General features: G+C 52.6%; 2 protein-coding genes across 19 annotated transcripts, besides 5 other annotated features; both read right to left on the bottom strand.

The window, feature by feature from the left end:
* Window positions 1-142: 142 nt before the first annotated feature.
* RGL2 (ral guanine nucleotide dissociation stimulator like 2) lies at window positions 143-10,101 on the bottom strand. 12 transcript variants are annotated; one of them, NM_004761.5, is made up of 18 exons: window positions 7,359-7,431; window positions 6,944-7,140; window positions 5,521-5,604; window positions 5,087-5,265; window positions 4,903-4,953; window positions 4,517-4,814; window positions 3,997-4,248; window positions 3,808-3,911; window positions 3,616-3,700; window positions 3,466-3,534; window positions 3,177-3,251; window positions 2,523-2,555; window positions 2,284-2,405; window positions 2,093-2,188; window positions 1,902-2,013; window positions 1,505-1,795; window positions 919-1,033; window positions 143-802 (listed from the first exon to the last, which is right to left on the bottom strand). In NM_004761.5, exons 2-18 carry the CDS (start codon window positions 7,097-7,099, stop codon window positions 591-593), a joined length of 2,334 nt encoding a protein of 777 aa, NP_004752.1. In that variant the 5' UTR covers window positions 7,100-7,140; window positions 7,359-7,431; the 3' UTR covers window positions 143-590. The 12 variants fall into 12 exon arrangements, 10 of the variants coding, with proteins under 10 accessions (NP_004752.1, XP_047275155.1, XP_047275158.1 ...); XM_047419199.1 differs by lacking the exons at window positions 6,944-7,140; window positions 7,359-7,431 and adding exons at window positions 5,703-5,832; window positions 6,287-6,486; XM_047419202.1 differs by lacking the exons at window positions 6,944-7,140; window positions 7,359-7,431 and adding an exon at window positions 7,869-10,101.
* Window positions 5,782-6,309: an enhancer, noted in NCBI's record as "H3K27ac-H3K4me1 hESC enhancer chr6:33265070-33265597 (GRCh37/hg19 assembly coordinates)". NCBI's record gives its function as "activates a minimal SCP1, AML or CMV promoter by ChIP-STARR-seq in primed H9 embryonic stem cells {active_cell/tissue: H9 hESC(primed)}" and the evidence as "EXISTENCE:reporter gene assay evidence [ECO:0000049][PMID:30033119]".
* Window positions 6,396-6,896: an enhancer, noted in NCBI's record as "H3K4me1 hESC enhancer chr6:33265684-33266184 (GRCh37/hg19 assembly coordinates)". NCBI's record gives its function as "activates a minimal SCP1, AML or CMV promoter by ChIP-STARR-seq in naive H9 embryonic stem cells {active_cell/tissue: H9 hESC(naive)}" and the evidence as "EXISTENCE:reporter gene assay evidence [ECO:0000049][PMID:30033119]".
* Window positions 7,664-7,842: a silencer, noted in NCBI's record as "fragment chr6:33266952-33267130 (GRCh37/hg19 assembly coordinates)". NCBI's record gives its function as "represses an EF-1alpha promoter that drives an FKBP-Casp9 reporter gene in an ReSE screen in HepG2 liver carcinoma cells {active_cell/tissue: HepG2}" and the evidence as "EXISTENCE:reporter gene assay evidence [ECO:0000049][PMID:32094911]".
* Window positions 8,183-22,567, bottom strand: TAPBP (TAP binding protein). Of its 7 annotated transcripts, NM_003190.5 has the most exons (8): window positions 22,494-22,567; window positions 22,183-22,353; window positions 21,706-21,966; window positions 13,478-13,876; window positions 12,786-13,127; window positions 12,617-12,706; window positions 12,444-12,478; window positions 8,183-10,260 (listed from the first exon to the last, which is right to left on the bottom strand). In NM_003190.5, the coding sequence occupies exons 1-8, from the start codon at window positions 22,528-22,530 to the stop codon at window positions 10,249-10,251; spliced, it is 1,347 nt and encodes a 448-aa protein (NP_003181.3). In that variant the 5' UTR covers window positions 22,531-22,567; the 3' UTR covers window positions 8,183-10,248. The 7 variants fall into 7 exon arrangements, with proteins under 7 accessions (NP_003181.3, NP_757346.2, NP_001397804.1 ...); NM_172209.3 differs by lacking the exon at window positions 21,706-21,966; NM_001410875.1 differs by lacking the exon at window positions 12,444-12,478.
* Window positions 8,599-9,106: an enhancer, noted in NCBI's record as "H3K27ac-H3K4me1 hESC enhancer chr6:33267887-33268394 (GRCh37/hg19 assembly coordinates)". NCBI's record gives its function as "activates a minimal SCP1, AML or CMV promoter by ChIP-STARR-seq in naive H9 embryonic stem cells {active_cell/tissue: H9 hESC(naive)}" and the evidence as "EXISTENCE:reporter gene assay evidence [ECO:0000049][PMID:30033119]".
* Window positions 9,107-9,612: an enhancer, noted in NCBI's record as "H3K4me1 hESC enhancer chr6:33268395-33268900 (GRCh37/hg19 assembly coordinates)". NCBI's record gives its function as "activates a minimal SCP1, AML or CMV promoter by ChIP-STARR-seq in naive H9 embryonic stem cells {active_cell/tissue: H9 hESC(naive)}" and the evidence as "EXISTENCE:reporter gene assay evidence [ECO:0000049][PMID:30033119]".

Genomic DNA, 22,814 nt, shown 5'->3' on the forward strand with positions numbered 1-22,814 from the left:
TTTTCACCAATACCTCACTTTTTGCTCTGTTCATGGGGACAGAAAACATTGTGCCCCTTCCTGTTCCATGGCATCTACCTTCAGCCAATTCCCCACCCCCACTCATAGCAGCCAGTTCATATGTACTGCAAGGACAGGGGAGTAGAATTCAGGTAGTGTTTTGGTTTATTATCTTAGTGTTGTCACAGTGATAGAAACCCCCAGAGTGGGAAGAAGAGCTCCTGCGAGGACCTACATTTTGCCATTCCCCTCTGCCCTGGGGCTCAGAGCCTTGAAGCCTTTGCTTGGCCCTTGCATGTTAGGATATGGCCAAGAATCAGAAACTGATGCGTTTTTCCAGCACTACCTGTGTGCTGCACTCATGGAAGGTGGGAAGCTATACACAGGTATCCAACTTGGTTATAAGACACCAGTTCCCACAGGGCTGGATTTCTCAGCTGTCTGGTAAACCAGTGGCACTTCACTGCCCCAGGGTGGCTGGCTCCCTTTCTGAATTTCTGTCTCAATGTGATATAATTGCCACCATTCAGGATGGCTACCCACATCTGGTATGAACACCATGACTTCTGTAAGCCAACGGGGCTTCCTCCTCAGAACAGTGCCCGTGCAATCTTCCTCCCTGTGGCCTTGATCCTGGGAAAGGAGCCCCCTCCTCCCTCACTCGGAGGAGTTCCTGAGGCAGACGGGCCACTGGTGACGCCAGGTGTAGCAGTAGAGGACCTTCGCCGCTGCCGCAGGAGGAAATCGTGTGAAGCTCCATCCATGGCGTAGAATACATTAGCCGAGGCTGGGATAGTCAGCTCTGAAGGTTCAGGGGATGGATGTAAAGCACACACACAGTTGTTCCCCCCACAGCCGCCCAGATGTGGAAGTACTCCACTCTCCTCCCGAGTCTGCCTTTCCCTCATGGCCTCTGACCTCGCTCCCCTGGTAGCAGCTGTACCAGCTCATACTCTGAAGCCACTGCAGAGTCACGATTGTTTTTCTTAAGGACACGACTGATGACACTTGGAGCCTTGTCCTGGCTTGTCACCTGGCAGAACAGGAGACCAAAAGAGCAATCAATCAGCCATGATTTCCCATCCTTCTACCCTCAGCCACTGAACCCAACCACAAAATGTTACTTGTGTCCAAGGCTTTAAAATGAACAGGAAAACCCAATATGGTGGCTTCCTATACCCCATAAGCCAGCCCACATGGTGCCCAGTGAAACAGAGCTGCTTCCCTGTGGGGAAACTGCTGTTGATTCTGAAATTTTAACACGGCGACCAAAAGTTTAAGGTGTAGCAACTAATGCAAAATAGCCATCAAAATAAAACAAATTTCAGCTTCTATTGAAGACTAGAGTTTAGAAGATAAAATTAAAAATAAAACATAACTGCCAAAACCAAAGGTCAAAATTAAAACTACATTCAATTCCATTTGGCTGCCCAAACCTCAGACAACATTTATAGTCCAACAAGACACCATCCTTCACCCCAACTCCATCCCAAGGCTCCCTCACCAAAATGCTCTTATAGACACTGCCATCTTCCCCCAACTCCATCTGGACTCGGATGATACGGCAATCAGAGGCCCCTGGCCCAGATCCCTCTCCCCCATATCCAGTCCCCCCGGAGGCCTCTTCTGCACCCCCACTCAGCGGGGAGCCACAGGAGGCTGAGCGGCGGTGACCTCGAGAAGGCCTAGGGGAGGAGGCTGGTGGGGAGAGGTGGCTGGGGTCAGCTGGACTGTGCAGGGATGGACTGCTTTCCAAGGCAGAGTCTAGTGACGAGACAGATGGCCACTTCATGTGCTAGGAACAAACAACATGGGACTGGCATGAAGGCAGGGAGGTTTAAGGAAGAAACATTTACAGAGTGAGGGTCAGCGTCAAGGTCAGAGTCAGGAGCAGAGCTCACCTGGGCCAGCCGAGTCAGCAGAGGAGCAGGAGTTGTAGGCGCCTCATCTCCCCCAGTACTGGGCCGGTCACAGGACACAAGCGGGGTAGGGACCCCAACAGAGCCCAAAACCCTGCAGTGGCAGGAGATTGGGAGGATCAGAGAAAAGTGGAAGTCCCAAGAAACCACCCCCCAGCCAGTGAATCTCTCACTCTGTCCACTGCGAGATGACCAATGTTGGCCGAAGCACCCGTGGGGCAGGAGGGTCACTGGAACCAGGTGGCTCCACCTCACAGGATACACGATGGCTGGGTTAGGGGGGCAATAGGCAGAGCTCAGGACATGACACCAATCCCCCACACCTGGCCAGAACCCTGGAGTCCCAACCTCACCCGCCAGTCACCTCTGAGCCTCTGTCAGTGGCCGGAGCCCCTGTAGCCACCTCTGGATATCATGGTCAGGTTGGAGGTTATAGCCACGACATTCATTCTGGAGCCGTCGCAACTCAGAAAGGACTGCAAACTCCTGGGAAGGAGCCCTCAAACTGCAGGAGCCAAAACTCAGGGACCCCTGACTTTTCCCCCTCCCCTTCCTGGAACATGGATAGGGAAGTCCAGCATCCAGCCCAGACACTCCGCTCACCTTCCTCCGCTTGTCAAAATTGATGTATCCATTCTGCGAGGAAAATGGGGATGGGGTGAAAGTTCCAACCCTACCTTCCGGCCACAGAGAGAGAATATCCCCTCTCTTAAACACACACAGCCACATCCAACTCACAACCACTTCCCTCCAGCCTCTCTGACTCTTCGATCCCTCCCTGCCTTCCTCCTCAATCTATCATGGCCTAAGCACTCCACTTGACCCTTTAAATTGAATTTCTCAGGTAGACAACGAGTCTGCTTTGCAGATGAGAGGACTGGATAGTATCCAATTCGACAGGATTCCTTATCCAGAGAGGATAAGGAACTTGTCCAAGGTCTCAGTATTTGTTTATTTAACAAACTCTAGCAATAGAGCAGGAGCCCATCACAAAACCTAGATGTGCTTACGTTTCAGGCACGTTCTAAGCACTTGACAAATACAAATTCATTTAACCCTTATAACAGATCAATGTAGATGCTATTTCTAGTTTCCCATTTACAGATCACTGAGGCGACTTGGCACAGAAACAGATCTGGCTCTGTCCCACACTCAGCTATTTGTGCCTTACAGCCCCTTGCAAGGGGCGGGGGGGTCTGTCCGACCCTGCAGCCCACTTGTTACATCATTGCAATGACACACACACACACCACTGACCTCCAACTCATCCTTGGAGGCTGCATCCAGCATCACAAGGTCCTTCAGGAAGGTGCCAAGGTATGGGACCACACCCTGAAGTCAGGGGTCAGGGTCAGAAGTGCCTGCCATTGACGTGAGGGCCCTCCATCCCTCCGCACTTGCCCTCCTCATTGCCTCAGAGAACAGATTTCATTCTCCTCACCCCTCTGTGCCTCCCTTACCCATCCTTCAGGCTGCTCCCCCAAAACATACTCCTCACCCCTTCATAATCACCACCCCCACGCCCACCACCCCGCTAGTCACTCACCCCACCCCGGGAGCCAGACCTCGGGGCCTTCTTGGAGTGTGGCTCCAGAGGAGACTGCAGCTTCACCTCCTGGTGGTGACAAAATAAAAGAGACATGGGGGAGCAGTAGGGAACAAGGAGAGGTGGGAATGCCACAAACCAGGCTCTCACCTGCACGAGCAGCTCCCGACTCTGGGAATAATTATCCTCCTCGGAGAAAATCTGGCAGAGGCTGGAAAAGACTCTGAGGCTGTCCCTGGGGAAGGGAGAAAAGTGGCCCTGAGGACAGGCCTGGCTCTGTCACCCCCTCTTCCCCGCCTTCTGAGGAACCCCCACCCCAGTCCAATGCCTCAGCCTCCGCACCTGGTTGCTTCCCCCCAGGCTGCCCGAAGCCTGTGGATGGGGCTGGACTGCAGGGCTGACACCACGGCATAAACTGAAGAGAAGTTTCGGAGCAGCCGGCACTCCTGTGGGGGTCAAAGAAGAGAGCTAAGGCTATGGGAGGCCTCTCCATTCCATGGCCACAAACCGTAGGGCAATCTTCTCTCTCACCTCTGCCACGCGGATCCACTTCTCCAGGAGCCGGGCCCTCTGTGGGGGACGGAGTGGCCGTATGGTCACCTCCCCAGGTCCCTCTCCAGTGGAAGTAGCCCCCAGGACAGAACTAACCACTGCCCCTGCCACCTTGTTAAACTGTGTGACAGTAGCTCGGACAGATGGGCAGAGGTGAGAATGTCCTGGCCGGTCTCTGTGACCCCACAGGCCTCCCAGGCACTGAGAGGGGATCAAATTGAGAAAAAGTTCCTGCAGGGTAGAGGTCAGAGGTTAAAGTTCATAGTCAAGTGAGGTCAGCCTTCCAATATCAGGGATCTGAGGATCTCAGGTGGCCAAGGAACCAGAGGGGCACAGGGTTTGAAGGGTAACGACCAAAGGGAAAAGGGGAGAATCAAAATGGTAGGTGGAGGAGGCTAGGAGCTGGATCAGGAAGGGGTGGAAGCAAGGAAAGGATCTGGAGTCAAGGAGAGGTTAGTAAGGGGTCAGGGGGCATAGGGGCCAGAGGTCAGGGTCTCACCGCATCTAGCAGGGTCAGCTGTTCGGCCAAGTGGTCAGCGAGGAACACCAGGACATCCGTGGGGTCAGCAGGGGGATCGCCGGGGAGGGCCAGGGGCTTAGGAAGGTCGGGGGCCTGGGGGTCCACCCGGGACCGGAGATTGCGGATGAGGTCAGCGCTGCCCCCCCCAACACCCTTCCCTGCTGCATACCCTGTCTGAAGTAAGAAGCTCTCAAGCCGGTCAAGCTGACCCTTGGCCTCAGAGCCAAAATCCTCAGGGTGAGAGGCCAGCCAGGTTGACAGTACAGAGATGGCTACCCTGGGAGAAGGGAATCAGCCAAGGGTGAGAGGTAAAGCTGCAGCCTGGGCAGAGGGGACTGTGAGATTAAGAACCAGGGGTCACTCACTCTGTTGTCCTCTCTAGTTCGTCGGTAGGATGAGATTCAAGGGCTTCCAGCCTGAGGGGGAGAAGAGGATCTATCTGTCCATTTTTCCCAAACCCTCAGTGGCTTTGACTATTTTGGTGGGATGTTGCGGCTTTAGGAAATCCGGGCAGATACTCCACTACCCTGCGTCCCTTATGACTCTGACCTGTCAGCCATAAGCCCTAGCAAGGCAGGCGTGGAGGTGAAGGCCCGGTGGGTAGCCAGGAAGGCTGACATGAAGCTCACATCAGTCCCTGATGTCCGGGTATCCAGTAGGTGTCTGACCAGGGCCTCCAGAGTGCCAGCTCGGAGCCGTCGGGAGGAACGTGGGGGAGGCATAGGGACCTGGAGAACACAGAGAGATGATCGCTAACCCTTTCTCCCACTCTGCACCTAGATTTCTGAGGACAATCCCAGACCCAGGAGATGTTCCAGACTCATTTTTCTGATATTCAGAGAGGGCAAGAGTCTTGGCCTATGTCACACAGCAGAGTCCAGGACTCCAGAACTCCAACCTAGCACTCTGGCCAGAAAGTCAGCCAGAGGAAGGAAAACTGGGAATGAAGAGTCAGAGGTGAGAAGCTAAAGTCATGATCTCACCAAGGGATCAAGAGGTCGATATTGGCGGCTTGTGACGGTAAACACGGCACCATCCTCCTCCTCATCCCAGACGGACACAGGGGCCTGGAGGAGCAAGGAAGGGGAAGTCAGACAGTTCCACACCACCCCCCATTGCCCTCAGCCTTCACCCCAGGCCCTGCTCCTCCCTCTGTACCCCTCACCTGTGGTGGCAGGGCATAGTACCAGCGAGTGCGAGGAAGGGTTGGGGGAGCTGGTGACCCCAGGTCTCCCCCACTGGGGCCCAGACAGCCCCACCCCAGCCGCCTCAGGGCCCCGGTGGAGTCGAAGGGGCTGCAGTGGAGGCGTGGATGGAGTACAGGAATTCTGATCCTGGAGACCCCCAAAGCCCCTTCTCCCCAGAGCTGAACCCACACACGACAGAGAAGCAGGGTACAAAGGGCAGGAGAGGGAAGCGAGAGGCAGCAAGCCAGAGGCAGCGACTAGGGGTAGCTGAAACCTCAGTCCAGGCACTGCCGCATGCCCCGCCCCTCCCGGCCAAGGACTATACCAGCCCAGAGAATTAGTCTTTTTCAGGACCCCTTTCACCCTGGTCCCTCGGGTAGCGCCTCCACTATCTCAGCCCTAAGGGACCCCCGAAGGTAGCAGCTCCAATCCCAGTACAGGAAGGAAAAGGGGAAGTGGGATGATAGGGGGTTGGGGGCGGTAGACTCAGAGAGTCACGTGGCCCCAGCCCCTCCCCCGACCGATCCCGAAAAACCAGCCCTGCCAGTCAACCTGCCCTCACCTAGGATCTGGACCTAGGAGTTTAGGGCCTCGGGGCCCCAAATCCAAATTCTGGCCCCTCCTGAGGCCCGAAATCCTGCTCCTGGCCACCACCATTAATCCCTAATGAAAACAGATGACCACTCTCTACCCACCCTAGGATCTTTCCTCCAGGTCCCAGAACCGTGGCTTCCCGGCCTCTACCCAGGACCGGGGCGGGGCGGGGGGGCGGGGGGAAGGGGGAGAGAGGGAAGGAGGGGTCACGAAATCTGAGGGTTCCCTCCCCAATCCCAGAGTCAGAGGAGCTGGTTACTGTGGAAACAAACCCCTCCCCGCCAAACAAAAACAAGGAGGGAGACAGGGACCAAGACACGACTGCTCAGAGAGGTAGGCACACTCAGGCAGGCAGAGGTGGAGGGCCAAAGACCCGCAGGGACAGGACAGCCAGCCAGAAGTTCCAGGCAGGAACAGGGCAGGTTCCTGCGGGCAGGTCCTGAGTCACACTGACAGAGAACCACGGAGACGCCAGGACTCCCCGCAGCAGAGAAACGGGCCGACACCCAGGGAGGCGCGAGAATAACTGAGGCAAGGAGGAGGAGATGTAGGGACCCAGAGACAAGAGAAAAGTGGAGACTTCAGAAATACATACGCCCCCTACCTCCCACCACCCGCGTCTCACCTCTTCTTCTTCCTCCTCCTCTTCCTCCTGCCCCCCGCCCACGACCAGGCCACCTGGGCCCCCACCCTCTTCGGGGTCCCGGCTTCGGAAGCTGCTCAGTACGACTCCCCCGGGGGGGCTCGTGTCCAAAAGCAGCCGCAGGGGCCGCGGGAGCATGGCCGAGTGAAGGAATCAGCGGGGTCGGGCCATGGGGGCGCCTGGGGAGAGACGGGGTGGGGTGGGGGTGGAGAGTCAGGCAGGCGCGGGGGAACCGGGCAGGGAAGGGACGTGGGTGGGTGTCAAGAAGACCGGAAGGGAGTTCTGCAGGAAGGTTGGGGGAGGGGGCAACAGAAGGGTGGAATAGGGGGGCCCTTGGTGCTGTTGGGGAAGGAGGAGGTCACGAGTACGGGGACGCGCAGGGTGCTCAGGCTCTGACCTGCTCGGGAGGGGTGGGGGCAGCGTGGGTCCTGAGCCGCTGTTGCCGTCGGTCTCCGGCCCCGGACCGAGTCCCCTCCCCGGCTTTTCCGTACCCCCTTGAACCCCCCCGCCGGGCTCCTGGGCCCTCCCGCCCTTTCCGCTCCCCCCCGCGTCCGCCCGCTCCGAGAGCAGGAGCCAAAAGGGGAAGGAAGTGAGGACAGGAGCCAGGGCCGCGGACTAGGGGAGCGCTGGACGCTCAGGGACCAGGACCCAGGCGCCCGAGTCCCCAGCTCCACTGTCCTCCGCCTCTACACTCGGGGATTCTGGAGACCACGTCGACCCGCAATGAACTGGAATAAAGATTCCAGTCTCCAGCCCCTGGGGGAAGGCAGGAGCAGAATTTGACATTCCCTTCCCCAACAATAACACGGCTAAAACTCCCGCGGGAAGCGTTTCAGGCGGAGAGAGAGCCGGTCACTCCATCCCCACGGGATTACCCTCCCTACCACAACCCACGAATGTAGCTGACCGAAATCCCGGCCGGGTTTTCCGAAGGGCCCTCGATTCCCGCCCCCTCGGCAGGGGGCGGGGCAGGAAGCAGCCACATCCGGTTCCAGATTCGGCTCTCAGAGGCTTCCGGCGCCGAGACCGAGATCCCCGTCGGCTCGGTGTATCCTCGCTGGTGGAGTACCCTCTGCTTGAGCGCATCTCATGCGCCAGTAGTGGCGCCCGCCCCGAACGGTGTCGACGGGGCGTTCTCTGAGCGGTTCAGGGTCACTGGAAGGGACCAGAGGTGATTGGAATATTCATTGAGCTTGGAAAGGGGTTGGAATGAGAGAACCGTTTGGAAGCACTGGAATACAGCTTTATTCCTACACGATTAGACCCGTTACCCCGTGGGTCTGGCCGACCGTCCTGACTCGGAGATCCCTGAGCTGCGCCGCCGCTTCCTTCGTCAACATCCAGCAGCTACTTGATGAGCGCCCTCCAGTGGGCCTTAGGTCCCTATGCCGGCGCGGGGTTACAGCAGTGGACAGACAGGCCAGTCCCTGTCCTCGAGGAGCCCATGATCCGCGGGGAGACAGGCATTTAACGACGACTCACACGATCACTTAAATACAACTGTGGTGAACCGCACAAGAGGGACGCGCGGCGGTCTGCGGGGAATGACGAGGCCGACCTCGTCTGCGACCCAGGGAGGGCAAGGGTGGACCAGGCAAAGGGAACAGAGGACTGGGACCTGGAGGTGGGCGGGAGGCGTTTGGTTCATTGGAGGAAAGGAATAGCCCTGTGTGTGATGAGCATTGAGAGGAGGTCTGGCGAGCACCATCTAGGGCTGAAGAACTAGGCAGTGGCTCCAGCGCGGGGCGGTGGGGGGGACAAGTGAGCCAGGGCAAGAAGAATGGATTTGGCCCTAGAGTACGGGTTCTCCAAATGTAACCTCGGCCCTACAGATCTCTGAGACTATGTCAGGGGGTTTGTGAGATTTTATAACAAAATTAAGATGTTAGTACAATATCGTGTTTCGCCGCCGGGCGCGGTGGCTCACGCCTGTAATCCCAGCACTTTGGGAGGCCGAGGCGGGCAGATCACAAGGTCAGGAGATCGAGACCATCCTGGCTAACACGGTGAAACCCCGTCTCTACTAAAAACACAAAAAGTTAGCCGGGCGTGGTGGCGGGCCCCTGTAGTCCCAGCTACTCGGGAAGCTGAGGCAGGAGAATGGCGTGAACCCGGGAGGCGGAGCGTGCCGTGAGCCGAGATCGTGCCACTGCACTCCAGCCTGGGCAACAGAGCGAGACTCTGTCTCAGAAAAAAAGAAAGATTATTTGCAGCCGGGCGCGGTGGCTCACGCGGGTAATCCCAATACTTTGGGAGGCCGAGGCGGGCGGATCACCAGGTTAGGAGATCGAGACCATCCTGGCTAACACGGTGAAACCCCGTCTCTACTAAAAAATACAAAATATTAGCCAGGCATGGTGGAGGACGCCTGTAGTCCGAGCTACTTGGGAGGCTGAGGCAGGAGAATGGCGTGAACCCGAGAGGCGGAGCTTGCAGTGAGCCGAGATCGCGCCACTGCACTCCAGCCTGGGCGACAGAGCGAGACTCCGTCTCAAAAAAAAAAAAAAAAAAGTTTTTTGCCTTCTTCATTCTATAAGTGTACAGTGGAGTTTTTCAGAAGCTACATGATATGTATTGACACCATGGTTCCCACGATGAATAGAATGTGTGCCTATGTATTCTCGTGTTTTAAATTTTTCTCACTTTTAAGTTCTAGTACCATAAATATTGATAGCTATAACCCACATACCCAAAAGCTTTTTGGGGTCCTTGATGATTTTTAAGAGGTCCTGAGAGAAAAAAATTTTGAGAACCACTGTCCTAGAGCTCCAAGAAGGTGAATGCCATAAGATGTGTGTTTTTTAAAAAAGCATTTCTCGGGCCTGGTGTGGTGGCTCACGCCTGTAATCCCAGCACTTTGGGAGGCTGAGGTGGGCAGATCACCTGAGGTCAGGAATTCAAGACCAGCCTGGCCAACATGGTGAAACCCCGTCTCTACTAAAAATACAAAAATTCACTGGGTGTGGTGGCATGTGCCTGTAATCCCAGCTACTCCGGAGGCTGAAGCCACAGAATTGCTTGAACCCAGGAGGCGGAGGTTGCAGTAAGCCAAGATCATGCCACTGCACTGCAGCCTGGGCGGAAGAGTGAGACTCCGTCTCAAAAAAAAAAAAAAAAGAAAAATTATCCCTTATATAAGTGAAAGAAAAAAAAAAAAGCATTCCAGCCACTCAGTGGAGAGAGATTGGAGGGATTAGGAGCAGATGATAGGGTATTATTTTAGGGAGCTACTACAGAAGCTTGGGCCAGAGATGATGGTGGCTTCCACAGGATGGCAGTGAGTGCCCTCACTCTGCTTTCTGGAAGAGAGGAAGGTGGTGAGGAATTCAGGATATTAAAAGGCAGTTGAGGTGTACATGGTCAGTTTAGAGACATATAAACTATCATGGGCACAGATGATGGGAGAAGGATGAGGCTAATATTTTCTGCCCTCCAGACACTGCTGAGTGCTGTATCTCCTGCATCTTCTTAAGGAGATACACTGTCTTCCTTAATCCTCCTAAAAGTCCTCTCAGGCTCCGCTGTCCAATATGACAGCCACCACCCACATTAGGCTATTGAGCATTTGATATGTGGCTAGTCCGAATTGAGATGTGCTGACTATTTAAAATAAACACCTGTGTTTGAATACTTAAGGTGAGAAAAGGGCTGCAATTTATTTTCTTTTCTTTCTTTTTTTTTTTTTTTTTTTGAGACAGGGTCTCACTTTGTCACCCAGGCTGGAGTACAGTGGGACAACCTTAGCTCATTGCAGCCTCACCCTCCCAGATTCAAGCGATCCTTCTGCCACAGCTCCCCAAGTAGCTGGGACTATAGCTGTGTGCCACCATGCCCAGCTAATTTGTTTTGTTTTGTTTTGTTTTGTTTTTTGAGACAGAGCCTCACTCTGTTGCCCAGGCTGGAGTGCAGTGGTGCGATCTCGGCTCACTGCAACCTCCACCTCCCAGGTTCAAGCAATTCTCCTGCCTCAGCCTCCTGAGTAGCTGAGATTACAGGTGTGCACCACCATGCCCGGCTAATTTTTCTGTATTTTTAGTAGAGACGGGGTTTCACCATGTTGGCCAGGCTGGTCTTGAACTCCTGACCTCAGGTGATCCGCCCTCCTCAGCCTCCCAAAGTGCTAGGATTACAGGCGTGAACCAACGCACCTGGCCAAGACTGTAATTTCTTTTTCTTTTTTTTTTGTTGTTGAGACGAAGTTTTCCTTTTGTCACCCAGGCTGGAGTGCAATGGTGTGATCTCAGCTCACTGCAACCTCTGCCTCCCAGGTTCAAGCGATTCTCCTGCCCCAGTCTCCCGAGTAGCTGGGATTACAGGTGCCGTCACATCTGGCTAATTTTTTGTATTTTTAGTAGAGATGGGGTTTCATCATGTTGGCTAAGCTGGTCTTGAACTCCTGACCTCAGGTGATCCTCCCGCCTCGGCCTCCCAAAGTGCAGGGATTACAGGCATGAGCCATCGCACCCGGCCTGTAATTTCTTATATTGTTTACATGTTGCAATAATATTTTGGATGTACAGGTTGAGCATCGCCGATCCAAAACTCTAAAATCTGAAATGTTCCAAAACCTGAAATTTTTTTAGTGCCAACATGATGCCACAAGTGGAAAATCCCACAGCTGCCCTCATGTGATGGGTCACATATATTATTAAAAATATTGTGGTCGGGTGCAGCGGTTCACACCTGTAATCCCAACGCTTTGGGAGGCCAAGGCAGCGGGCGGATCACCTGAGGTCGGGAGTTCGAGACCAGCCTGACCAACATGGTGAAACCCCGTCTCTACTAAAAATACAAAAATTAGCCAGGCGTGGTGGTGGGTGCCTGTAATCCCAACTACTCGGGAGGCTAAGGCAGGAGAATCGCTTGAACCTGGGAGGTGGAGGTTGCAGTGAGCCGAGATCGCACCATTGCACCCCAGCCTGGGCGACAGAGACTCTGTCTCAAAAAAAAAGAGAAGGAAAAAAATCTTCAGGCCATGTGTATAAGGTGTATAGGAAACATAAATGATTTCTGTGTTTAGATTTGGGTCTGATCCCAAAGATATTAAATATATGCAAATATTCCAAAGTCTGAAAAAATCCAACATCCAAAAACACTTCTGACCCAAGCATTTCAGATAAGGGACCAGAATTATTAGATTAAATAAGGTATATTATTAAGTTAATTTTACCTGTTTCTGCTTATTTTTTTAATGTGAGTACTAGAGTATTTAAATTTACATATGTGGCTTGCATTATCTTTCTATTGGACAGCACTGCCTAAGTAACTTTTTAAAATCCCTACACCCAAGGAAACATATAGATTAAGTAGCATGCTCAAAGAGTCCTACAGTTAGGATATAGTGCCAGGTTTTAACCCAGATCAGTGTGAATTCCAAGCCTAGGTTCTGCCTACCACACCAGCAGCCTCCCTCCATGGGTTTTGAGATAGGATGAGGAGATAAAGTGACAAGGGAAAGATACAGAGAGGTGGAGCACTGTACCTTCTTTGAATCCTTGCAGGTGGACAGGTAGACAGCTGTGGGGAAAGATTGAGAAGGGATGGGATGCTGGAGTGGTAGAGGTGGAGGGCAGAGGGATGGGTGTCAGGCTCTTGGGAGTAGGTGGGGAAAGTCCACCAACCTCAGGTCATGGTCAGGGTAGGGCTGACACTTACCAGCCCAGCCCAGTGCCTTGAAGAGCCCAAGCAGAAGAAAGGCAGACAGGAAAAGGCCTACGCTGTCCTCAAGGGAGGGCCCTGAAAGACCTGGCAGGCAGAAGGGGTGAGAGTGAGCTCCTGTCTTCCTGGGTGCTGGCTCAGATTCCGCAGAGCTCCCAGCTCTTACCTGCTACCTCCAGGGTGACCTCAGCGCTGCGCCCCGAGGCAGGCAGGCTGGGATGGTGAATTCGACAGGCATAGCGTGCCCCATGCTGCTCAGTGGTGACTGGGGGCGGCTGCAAGTGCCCAGAGAGGCTGACAGAGCCATCGGAATGGTGGCGCAGGGCCGAGAGCCACCTCTGCCCCTCGGCCTTCTGAGAGCGGCCCCCTGGGCCACCCCGGAGTTCCCACTCCACCTCCAGGCCCCCAGAAGGGTAGAAGTGGGACACAAGGCAGAGCAATTCCGGGGGTGCCTCCCCTGGGGCGGCCCGTGCAAGGGTTGCTGGCATCAGGGACACTTTGGGGGGTTCTGGGGAAAGAGGACGAAATGAGCATAGGGAAATCAGTCCATACTGTCCTCCCTAAGAGACCCTCAGTTTGCCTGCTGGCTTCCTCAGAACTAAAGAAGGTTAGGTTTCTTCTCCTGAAATAGGGAACCCACTGTCTCTCCATTGGTGCGTCACAGAAATACCCATGTCAAAGCCCCTCAAATTTCCAGGAAACTTCTAGCCTCCCATTACCCCTCTAACTCCCAGGAACCTCTTTCTATCTCTACTTACTTGCCCAGGCACCCTCTTATCCATCATCCCTCCCCCTATTACGGTCCCCACAATCCAGTGCCCACCCTCTACCCCTGGAGACCTCTGTCCCCCAACTCACTGTACACAGCAAGCTCCAGGGTGACCTGTCCTTGCAGGTATGGCAGGTGTATGGTGGCCAGATAGGTGCCCTCCTGAAAGGGTTGAACTGTAGGCAGCCAGAAGGTCCCATTTCCGGTCCATGGGCCCCATGGCTCATCATCATCCCAAGCAGCAAATGCCACGGCCCCTTCTTGGGCTGCTGGCATCTGGCCATTCAGCCCAGGAGTTGCAGCCAGGAGCAGATGTCCCTTACCCAGGTGCTGGCGTCGCCACTCTAGCCCAAAGGGAGGGGGACCCGGAGCCAGAGATGAGGCGGCCTCGGAGGTGGGGGGCATGTAGGCAAAGCTCAAGTCCAGCAGAGCATCTTGTCCCAGTCTCACTCGAGGGGCAGGGGTGTGGGTGAGGACAGTCAGTACCACTGAGGAAGACAGGGAGATGAGGGGTTGGGAGGGGCATGAGGGAGAGAAAGAAGGAGAAAAAAATAGAGAAATGCAGTTATTGGGGAGGGCTAAACTGCAGTTTACCCACCCCTCAGAGGACACCTTTTCTGATACTCACCATTTCCTAGCCCTCCCTGCAAACTCCTTTTGCTCTGCGACTGGGTGGCACCTAGTGTGGCTGAGGGTGAGCAGAGAGGTCTAGGGGTGGTGAGTAGGGGCAATGAGGGGGTATGGCCTTTGAAGCCTACTCTGAACACATAGCACACTCTAGCTCGGGGGACTGCAGAATCCGAGGCCACTTCTGACACAACCTGAACCACTCTATCTCCAAGCACCACCCTTGAGGAACCAGGCCTTTCTTGATTACAGGCGAAGACAATGATTGAGCCATGACTGTCAGTCTTGTGGTGCTGTACAGAATATTTACTGACTCTAGAAGGTTCCAGCTCTAGCCTAGACCTGAGCACAGACCTCTATGCTCTACTGAAGCAGTACAGTGCAGTGGCTAAGTGCCTGGAGCCTGGCTGACCGGGTTCAAATCCCCTCTGCAGCTTATTTATATGGCCTTGGGCCACTTCCTTTTTCCATGGCTCAGCTTCCTAATCTCTAAAATTAAAAGTTGATGATAATAATAGTACCTACTTCATGAGGTTGTTGTGATGGTTAAATCATTAATACCTCTTGCTACTCAAGTCTATTCAGTTCCCAATTTTAGATAACAGAGACACCTACCCATGAAGGGTGCTTACAACACTGTCTGGAACACAGTAAGTCTACACGTGTTTGCTATAGTTACACCTAACTTAGCATACCCCAAGTCAACAGCATCTCTGCAACATTCCCCACCCTGCTCCAATGCCCATCTTCCCTGTCTTTGATGAATGATCACCAAGCCCGCCAGACACTAAAAGCAAACCCTTGGAGTTACTCAGACTCATTTATTCATTCAGCAACTATTGAGCACTGAAGATGTTCAAGGTATCCTGGTAGAAGACAGAATGGTGAACAAGACAAGCAGTCCCTGCTCTCAAATTGCCTATAGTCCAATGACAGACAAGCAAATTGTCAAAAATAATGTGCTATGTGCTATCCCCACCAGGACCTAACAGATCTCACATCTGTTTCCAATTTAGGTTCTCATCAATGTACGTTTAGACAATTACAACAGCCCTCCTGTCTGGTCTCCCTATTCTCAGTCTCTCCTTCAACTCCTTCTTCACACTGTAGCCAAACAAAGTGACTACAAGTCTGATCCCATCACCTACCTGTTTAAAAATCCCAAATATGGGCCAGACGCAGTGGTTCATGCCTATAATCCCAGCACTTTGGGAGGACGAGGCGGGTGGATCACCTGAGTTCGGGAGTTTGAAACCAGCCTGACCAACATGGTGAAACCCCGTCTCTACTAAAAATACAAAATTAGCCTGGTGTGGTGGCACATGCCTGTAATCCCAGCTACTCGGGAGACCGAGGCAGTAGAATTGCTTGAACCCGGGAAGCAGAGGTTGCGGTGAGCCGAGATTGTGCCATTGCACTCCAGCCTGGGCAATAAGAGGGAAACCCCGTTTCAAAAAAAAAAAAAAAAATCCCAAATACGGCCAGGCGTGGTGGCTCACACCTGTAATCCCAACACTTTGGTAGCCTGAGGCGGGTGGATTACCTGAGGTCAGGAGTTCAAGACCAGCCTGGCCAACATGGCAAAACCCTGTCTCTACTAAAAATACAAAAATTAGCCAGGTGTGGGGGCAGGCACCTGTAGTCCTAGCTACTTGGGAGGCTGAGGCAGAAGAATCACTTGAACCTGGGAGGTAGAGGTTGCCGTAAGCTGAAATCATGCCACTACACTCCAGCCTGGGCAACAGAGTGAGACTCCGTCTCAAAACTAAATAAATAAATAAAATAAAAATCCCAAATACCTAGGAAGTCAGCTGATAAAGGCATAGGCTGAAGCTATATGGCCTGGGTTCAATTTCTAGCCCTGCTTCTTTTTTTTTTTTTTTTTTTTTTTTTTGAGATAGAGTTTTGCTCGTCACCTAGGCTAGAGTATAGTGGTGTGATCTTGGCTCACTGCAACCTCTGCCTCCCAGGTTCAAGTGAGTCTCCTGCCTCAGCCTCCTGAGTAGCTGGGATTACAGGCGTCCACAACCGTGCCCAGCTAATTTTTGTATTTTTGGTAGAGATGGGGTTTCACCATGTTGCCCAGGCTGGTCTTGAACTCCCGACCTCAGGTGATCCACCTGCTTTGGTCTCCCAAAGTGCTGGGATTACAGGCATGAGCCACCACGCCTGGCCTCTAGCTCTGCTTCTTACACACTGTGTGTCCTTGGGCAAATTATTTAACTGGTTTGTGTCCTATATTTATCCATATGCAATACAGGGATAATATTAAAACCTACAACCTATGGTTGTTGAGAGGAATAAGTGAGATTATGCATATAAAGTGCTTAGAACAGGGCCTGGCATATAGAAAATACTTGATAAATGTTAGCTGTTACTATTTTCATTACCTTCATCACTATCATGGACTTGCTGGTTAACTTGGAAAAATCATTTAACCTGTATTTTCCTCACTAGTCCAAAGATCTGACCTTTGCCTATCTTTTAAAAGAATCAAGTAAAATAACAGGCTTTTTCCGGGCATGGTGGCTAACACATGTAATCCCAGCACTTTGGGAGGCTGAGGCGAGTGGATTACCTGAGGTCAGGAGTTCGAGAGCAGCCTGGCCAACATGGTGAAACCCCATCTCTACTAAAAATACAAAAAAAAAAAAAAAAAAAATTAGCGGGGCGTGGTTGTGGGTGCCTGTGATCCCATCAACTTGGGAGGCTGAGGCAGGAGAATTGCTTGAACCCAGGAGGCAGAGGTTGCAGTGAGCCAAGATCACCCCATTGCACTCCAGCATGGGTGACAAGAGTGAAACTCCGTCTCAAAAAATAAATATGTACATAATAAAAACAGGCTTTTTAGAATAACACGCCCTCCAAAAGAACTTCTGATGGTTCGCTCTCACCTACAGAACAAAGCCCAGCTTTCAAGGTATTTGAACATTCAGCCCCTAACCCACCCTTCCAGGCTTCTCCTGCACCCTACAAACCAGCCACATAGAACCCCTTTCTTGTGCCTAGTAGAAGTGGTCATCATTGGTCATCTCTTTGCTTTGGTCATGAGGTCCCTTCAGTTTACATTGTCTTTCCCATTTTCTCCCAAACATCTATCAAGCTTGTCCAACCTCCAGCCCAGGGACCACATGCAGCCAAGGACGGCTTGGAATACAGCCCGACACAAATTCATAAACTTTCTTAAAACATTATGAGATTTTTTCACATTTTTTTTTTTTAGCTTATCAGCCATCGTTAGTGTTCGTATATTTTATGCATGGCCCAAGACAATTCTTCTCCCAGTGTGGCTCAGGGAAGCCAAAAGATTGGAGACCCCTGATCTAAATACTCCATGTACATGAAGGTCACTTTCACTGCTGTTTCTTCCCAGAAATGTCTAGGTCCTTCAGGTAGAAGTAATCTTTTTCTTCTTGTAATTATTTTTATGTTCTTTTTAATCCTAGCTTCTGAGGCCTATAAGGTTAAACTGTTCTCATCTTCATGGAATTGTTCAGTAGAGTAAAAACAGTATGCAATTTCACTTAGTTTGTCAAAATCCAGAAACATACTTTTGAATTGTTAAAAAAAAAAAAAAAGATCCACAGGCTGGGCACAGTGGCTCACGCCTGTAATCCCAGCACTTTGGGAGGCCGAGGCCGGTGGATCACCTGAGGTTGGGAGTTTGAGACCAGACTGGAGAAACCCCGTCTCTACTAAAAATACAGAATTATCCGGGCATGGTGGCACACGCCTGTAATCACAGCTGCTTGGGAAGCTGAGGCAGGAGAATCACTTGAACCTGGGAGGCGGAGGTTGTGGTGAGCCGAGATCATGCCATTGCCCTCCAGACTGGGCAACAAGAGCAAAACTTGATCTCAAAAAAAAAAATCCATAGAATTAATAAACAAAACCTGGCTGGGCAGGGTGGCTCAGACTTGTAATCCCAGTACCTTGGGAGGCTGAGGTGGGAGGATCACTTGAACCCAGCAGTTTGAGACCAGCCTGGGCAACATAGCAAGACCCCATCTCTATTTAAAAGAAAAAATTTAAAAAAATAATAAACAAGACCTAAAGGTTTTACAGTTTAACTCTTTTTTTTTTTTTTTTTTTTTTGGAGACAGGGTCTCACTCTGTCACCCATCAAAGGTGCAATCCTCCCAACACAGCCTCCCGAGTAGCTGGGACCATAGGTACATGCCACGACACCCAACCTTTTTTTTTTTTTTTTTTTTTTTGAGACAGTTTCACGCTTGTTGCCCAGGCTGGAGTGCAGTGGCATGATCTTGGCTCACTGCAACCTCCGCCTCCCAGGTTCAAGCAATTCTCTTGCCTCAGCCTTCCGAGTAGCTGGGATTACAGGCATGCACCACCATGCCTGGCTAATTTTGTATTTTTAGTACAGACGGGGTTTCTCCATGTTGGTCAGGCTGGTCTTGAACTTTCGACCTCAGGTGATCTGCCCACCTCGGCCTCCCAAAGTGCTGGGATTACAGGCATGAGCCACTGCGCCCAGCATTTTTTTAATTTTTAGTAGAGACAAGGTCTGGTTATGTTGCCCAGGCTGGTCTTGAACTCCTGAGTGCAAATGATCCTCCCACCTAGACCTCCCAAAGTGCTGGAAGTACAGGCGTGAGTCACCTCACCTGACTCCATAATATTTTAAAAGAATGGTGAGAATTAAACACTATACACACAAAGTATATTAAGAAAGTATAGGCCTGGCGTGGTGGCTCACGCCTGTAATCCCAGCAATTTGGGAGGCTGAGGTGGGTGGATCACCTGAGGTCAGGAGTTCAAGACCAGCCTGGCTAACATGACCAAACCCTGTCTCCACTAAAAATACAAAAATTAGCTGGGCCTGGTGGTGGGCGCCTGTAGTCTCAGCTACTTGGGAGGCTGAGACAGGAGAATTACTTGAACTCAGGAGGCAGAAGTTGAAATGAGCAGAGATCACACCATTGCACTCCAGCCTGGGCAACAGGGTGAGACTCTGTCTCAAAAAAAAAAAAAAAAAAAAAAAAGTATATTTGGGGCCAGGCAGCTCACACGTGTAATCCCAGCAGTTTCGGAGGCCAAGGTGGGCAGATCAATTGAGCCCAGGAGTCCAAGACCAGCCTGGGCAACCTGACAAAAACCCATCTCCACAAAAAAAATACAAAAATTAGCTGGGCATGGTGGCACATGCCTGTGGTCTCAGCTACTCAGGAGACTGAGGCACGAGGATCACTTGAGCCACGGAGGTGGAGGTTGCAGTGAGCTGAGATCATGCCACTGCTCTCCAGCCTGCACTGCACTCCAGCCTGGGCGACAGAGGGAGACCCTGTCTCAAATAAATAAATAAATAAGCATATTTGTCAATAAACATTTAAAAATATTTGATAAGACAAGTATAAATGTATATTAGCAAAATCATGAATGATCTTGGACCCTGGAGAGATTTCATTTCTAATTTTACATCAGTACAACAGCTTTCATTTTCTTAAATCCCTGATCAAGCAGAAATGCTTGAAAAGAAAGAGCACAGCAGGCCGGGCGTGGTGGCTCATGCCTGTAATCCCAGCACTTTGGAAGGCCAAGGTGGGTGGATCACCTTAGGTCAGGAGTTCAAGACCATCCTGGCCAACATGGTGAAACCTGTCTCCAATAAAAATACAAAAATTAGGTGGGCGTGGTGGCACAAGCCTGTAATCCCAGCTACTGGGGAGGCTAAGGCACAAGAATTGCTTGAACATGGGAGACGGAGGTTGCAGTGAGCCAAGATCATGCCACTGCAACTGCACTCTAGCCTGGGCAATAAGAGGGAGACTCCGTCTCAAAAATAAATAAATAAATAAATAGCAGGCAGGCGCAGTGGCTCACGCTTGTAATCCCAGCACTTCGGGAGGCGAGGTGGGAGGATCACCTGAAGTTGGGAGTTCGAGACCAGCCTTACCAACATGGAGAAACCTCATCTCTACTAAAAATACAAAATTAGCTGGGTGTGGTGGCAGGCACCTGTAATCCCAGCTACTCGGGAGGCTGAGGCAGGAGAATTGCTTGAACCAGGGAGGCGGAGGTTCCGGTGAGCGTGAGATCACGCCATTGCACTCCAGCCTGGGCAACAAGAGCAAAACTCTGTCTCAAAAATAAATAAATAAATAAAATAAAAATAAATAAATAGCACAGCACCTTGCTTTGACCCCAGTTGTTTGTGAAATACAGACAATCTTACCACCCGGGCACTTCCAGGGCTCCCTGTCTGCATGTCCTTCACTTTCTACTTTACATTAGGATTATCCGTGGCAAATACGCCCAGAACCTCCTGGAGAGCAGAGTCTACATCAGATCATCTTTGTGACCCTTAAGGGCACCCAGGGCCACCCCAGAGATTCTGATTTAATCGGCCAAGCTAAGCATGGGATTGAATCAGGTTTCAGTATATTTTAGAAACCTCCAACAGTGTGGACTGAGAACTGCTGAGTCCTAACTCATTCTTGGTGCTAAAAAGTATTTATTGAATCAATGGATAAATTAACACAGTGCCATCTCTTGATAGTCACAACAAGAAAAGCAGCTGGGAAATAGTATCCACATTTTACAGTTGGAAAAACAAACTCAGAAAGCAAAGACCATTCTCATCATCACCTCGGTGGAGCCAGTAGCCCTAGGAAATATTCCACCCCACCAGAGAGAGCTACTGTCTACACAAGAGCAGTGTTCCTCAGCTTCTGCCAGGGTGGGGGCTTGAGACTAAGAATGGAGGTATAGGCAGAGGTGAGGGTTTCAGCGTGGGTTTCAAGTCTGTCTCCCTGGTTCTGTGGGTAATTCTCAGGAGGGTGGAGGGAAGGGAGGGTGCAGGGATTGGTTGGGGTTGCCCTGTCCATCGGGCTGTGTCGCTGACATAAAATCCAGATAGAAAAGCTAAGAACTCTACCGGTATTCTACCCCGGAATACCCCGCCTCCGCTGCCAGGAGGGAGAGCTCCCAGATATCCAGGTCAGACTCTCCTCATTCTTGAATTATCTGCACAGTCCCTCCCACGTCCCAGCCTAGAAAAGCTTCTGACTCCTGGGCCTCAAACTGCAATGCACCTTTCAGTGCAATAGGAGCTATCCAATCTCCAGCCGCGTCCATCCGCCCACTCGAGCCCACCTGTTTGCGGACCACAGAGCGGCAGCACATCCCTACACGGGGCTGTCAGGCAAGGTCAACGCGCTAGAGTGCAAGAGCCTTTGCTTTGCGGATTGCCGCAGCGCCGGGTGTGGGCGCAGGTGGGGATAGAGTGCTGGGTTTTGAAAGAGTGACCCGCAAAGCTGAGGGTGCAGAGCAAGACACAGATCTGGGAAGAGCAGAGAAAAAACGCTCCTGCTTCTGAACCCCTCCCACCTCGCATCACCTGACAAGTCTCTCAAGGTCTGGTGTCGGGAAACCCCACCTCTTCAAAGCCCCGCCCTTCGAAACACCAGAAAGTAACCCCCCTGCCCGGCCCTGCTTTCCCCCTACCCCCTGCCAAGCTGCAGTTTTTTTTTTGTTTTTTTTTTTTAACTGGGTGAGGGCTAGAAGGAGCGGTAGAGATTGATTCATTCTAGCCAAACCACCTCTCTTAACAAAAAAAGGAAACTGAACCCCGATTGGCGAAATGTCTTGCTCAAGTCCATAAAGCGAGACCACCGGCTGATCTGGACCCTTAGAATCTACCCACCCTTCTCCACCTCCCCTCCCCAGCTACCTGTTGCCATGGTGATGAGAACAGGCTCCTGCTGAGGCTCTGGCTGTGGTCGCAAGAGGCTGGAGAGGCTGAGGACTGGGCTGGATATGCTGACCATCAGCCAAGCCCCATCCAGGGCCCGCGGGCAGTTCTGCGCGGGGGTCAGGCCGCTGGCCCATTTCGCAGAGGCGGGGAGAGGCACGAAGCGGCTCATCTCGCAGTGTGGTGCGGGGGCGCCCCGGGGATACCGCCTGAAGGCAGCCTGGAGGGCGCCCGCGGGGTCTGAGTGTAGAGAAGGAAGTTGCAGCTGTAGAGTCACCGCCGGGAAAGGGGCTGGAAGGGCAGCGTTCGGGGAACTTCAAATGCACAGACTACCCCGTAGTGAGACTCACTTTACAAAGGGGAAGCTGAGGCCTGAGGTCACTGCCGGATCTAAAGAGGAGGGGGTTTCGGTGGAGGCGACAGAGGTAGGGGGGCGGCGAGTCCCTAGAGACTCACCGTGTACACTGAGATAGAGCTCAGGGTCGAGGTCCGGCCGGGGCGGCGGTTCCCCCGGTCCCTGGCGCAACAGCAGTGCACCGGGTCTCTTGGCCAGGCCCTTTCCGCTCGCATCCTCCACGAACCAACACTCGATCACCGCGGGTCCTGCTGAGACGGCGGTCGCCAGGCCTGGCGTATAGGGACGCGAGTGAGGAGCGGTTTGTATGTCTGGTGACCTGCCCCACTCCCACCCTGGCATCGGCTCCAGTGGGGCCACCTCCCTCCGCTTCCCTCTAGTTCTTGGGCGATGAGTCGCGGGGTTCGCTCACCCAAAGCCACAGCGAGGAGCAGAGACAGGGACTTCATGGCGCTGCGACCTCCTCAGCCATGAAGCCTCCTCTTCCTCCTTTCACTTTCACTTTCCTCCAAAGGGCGGCATGAGGGGCGGTGGAAATCCCCGCTCTGGTTAGGTGAAGGTGCCTGGGGGACCGGTGTTTCCCCACTGGCCAGGCAGGGACCCGGGTAGATCCTCTCCAGTTCTCACCAGGACACCCCAGCCTTACCGCGCCCTCCTGGACTACCCAGCAGCCCCGAGTTCGAGCCCTCCCCAACCCCAGGCCCTCCCCCGCCCCCCAACTCCTGTGTGTGCT

Source organism: Homo sapiens, chromosome 6 (assembly GCF_000001405.40).
Source record: "Homo sapiens chromosome 6, GRCh38.p14 Primary Assembly".
NCBI classification, from domain to species: domain Eukaryota; kingdom Metazoa; phylum Chordata; class Mammalia; order Primates; family Hominidae; genus Homo; species Homo sapiens.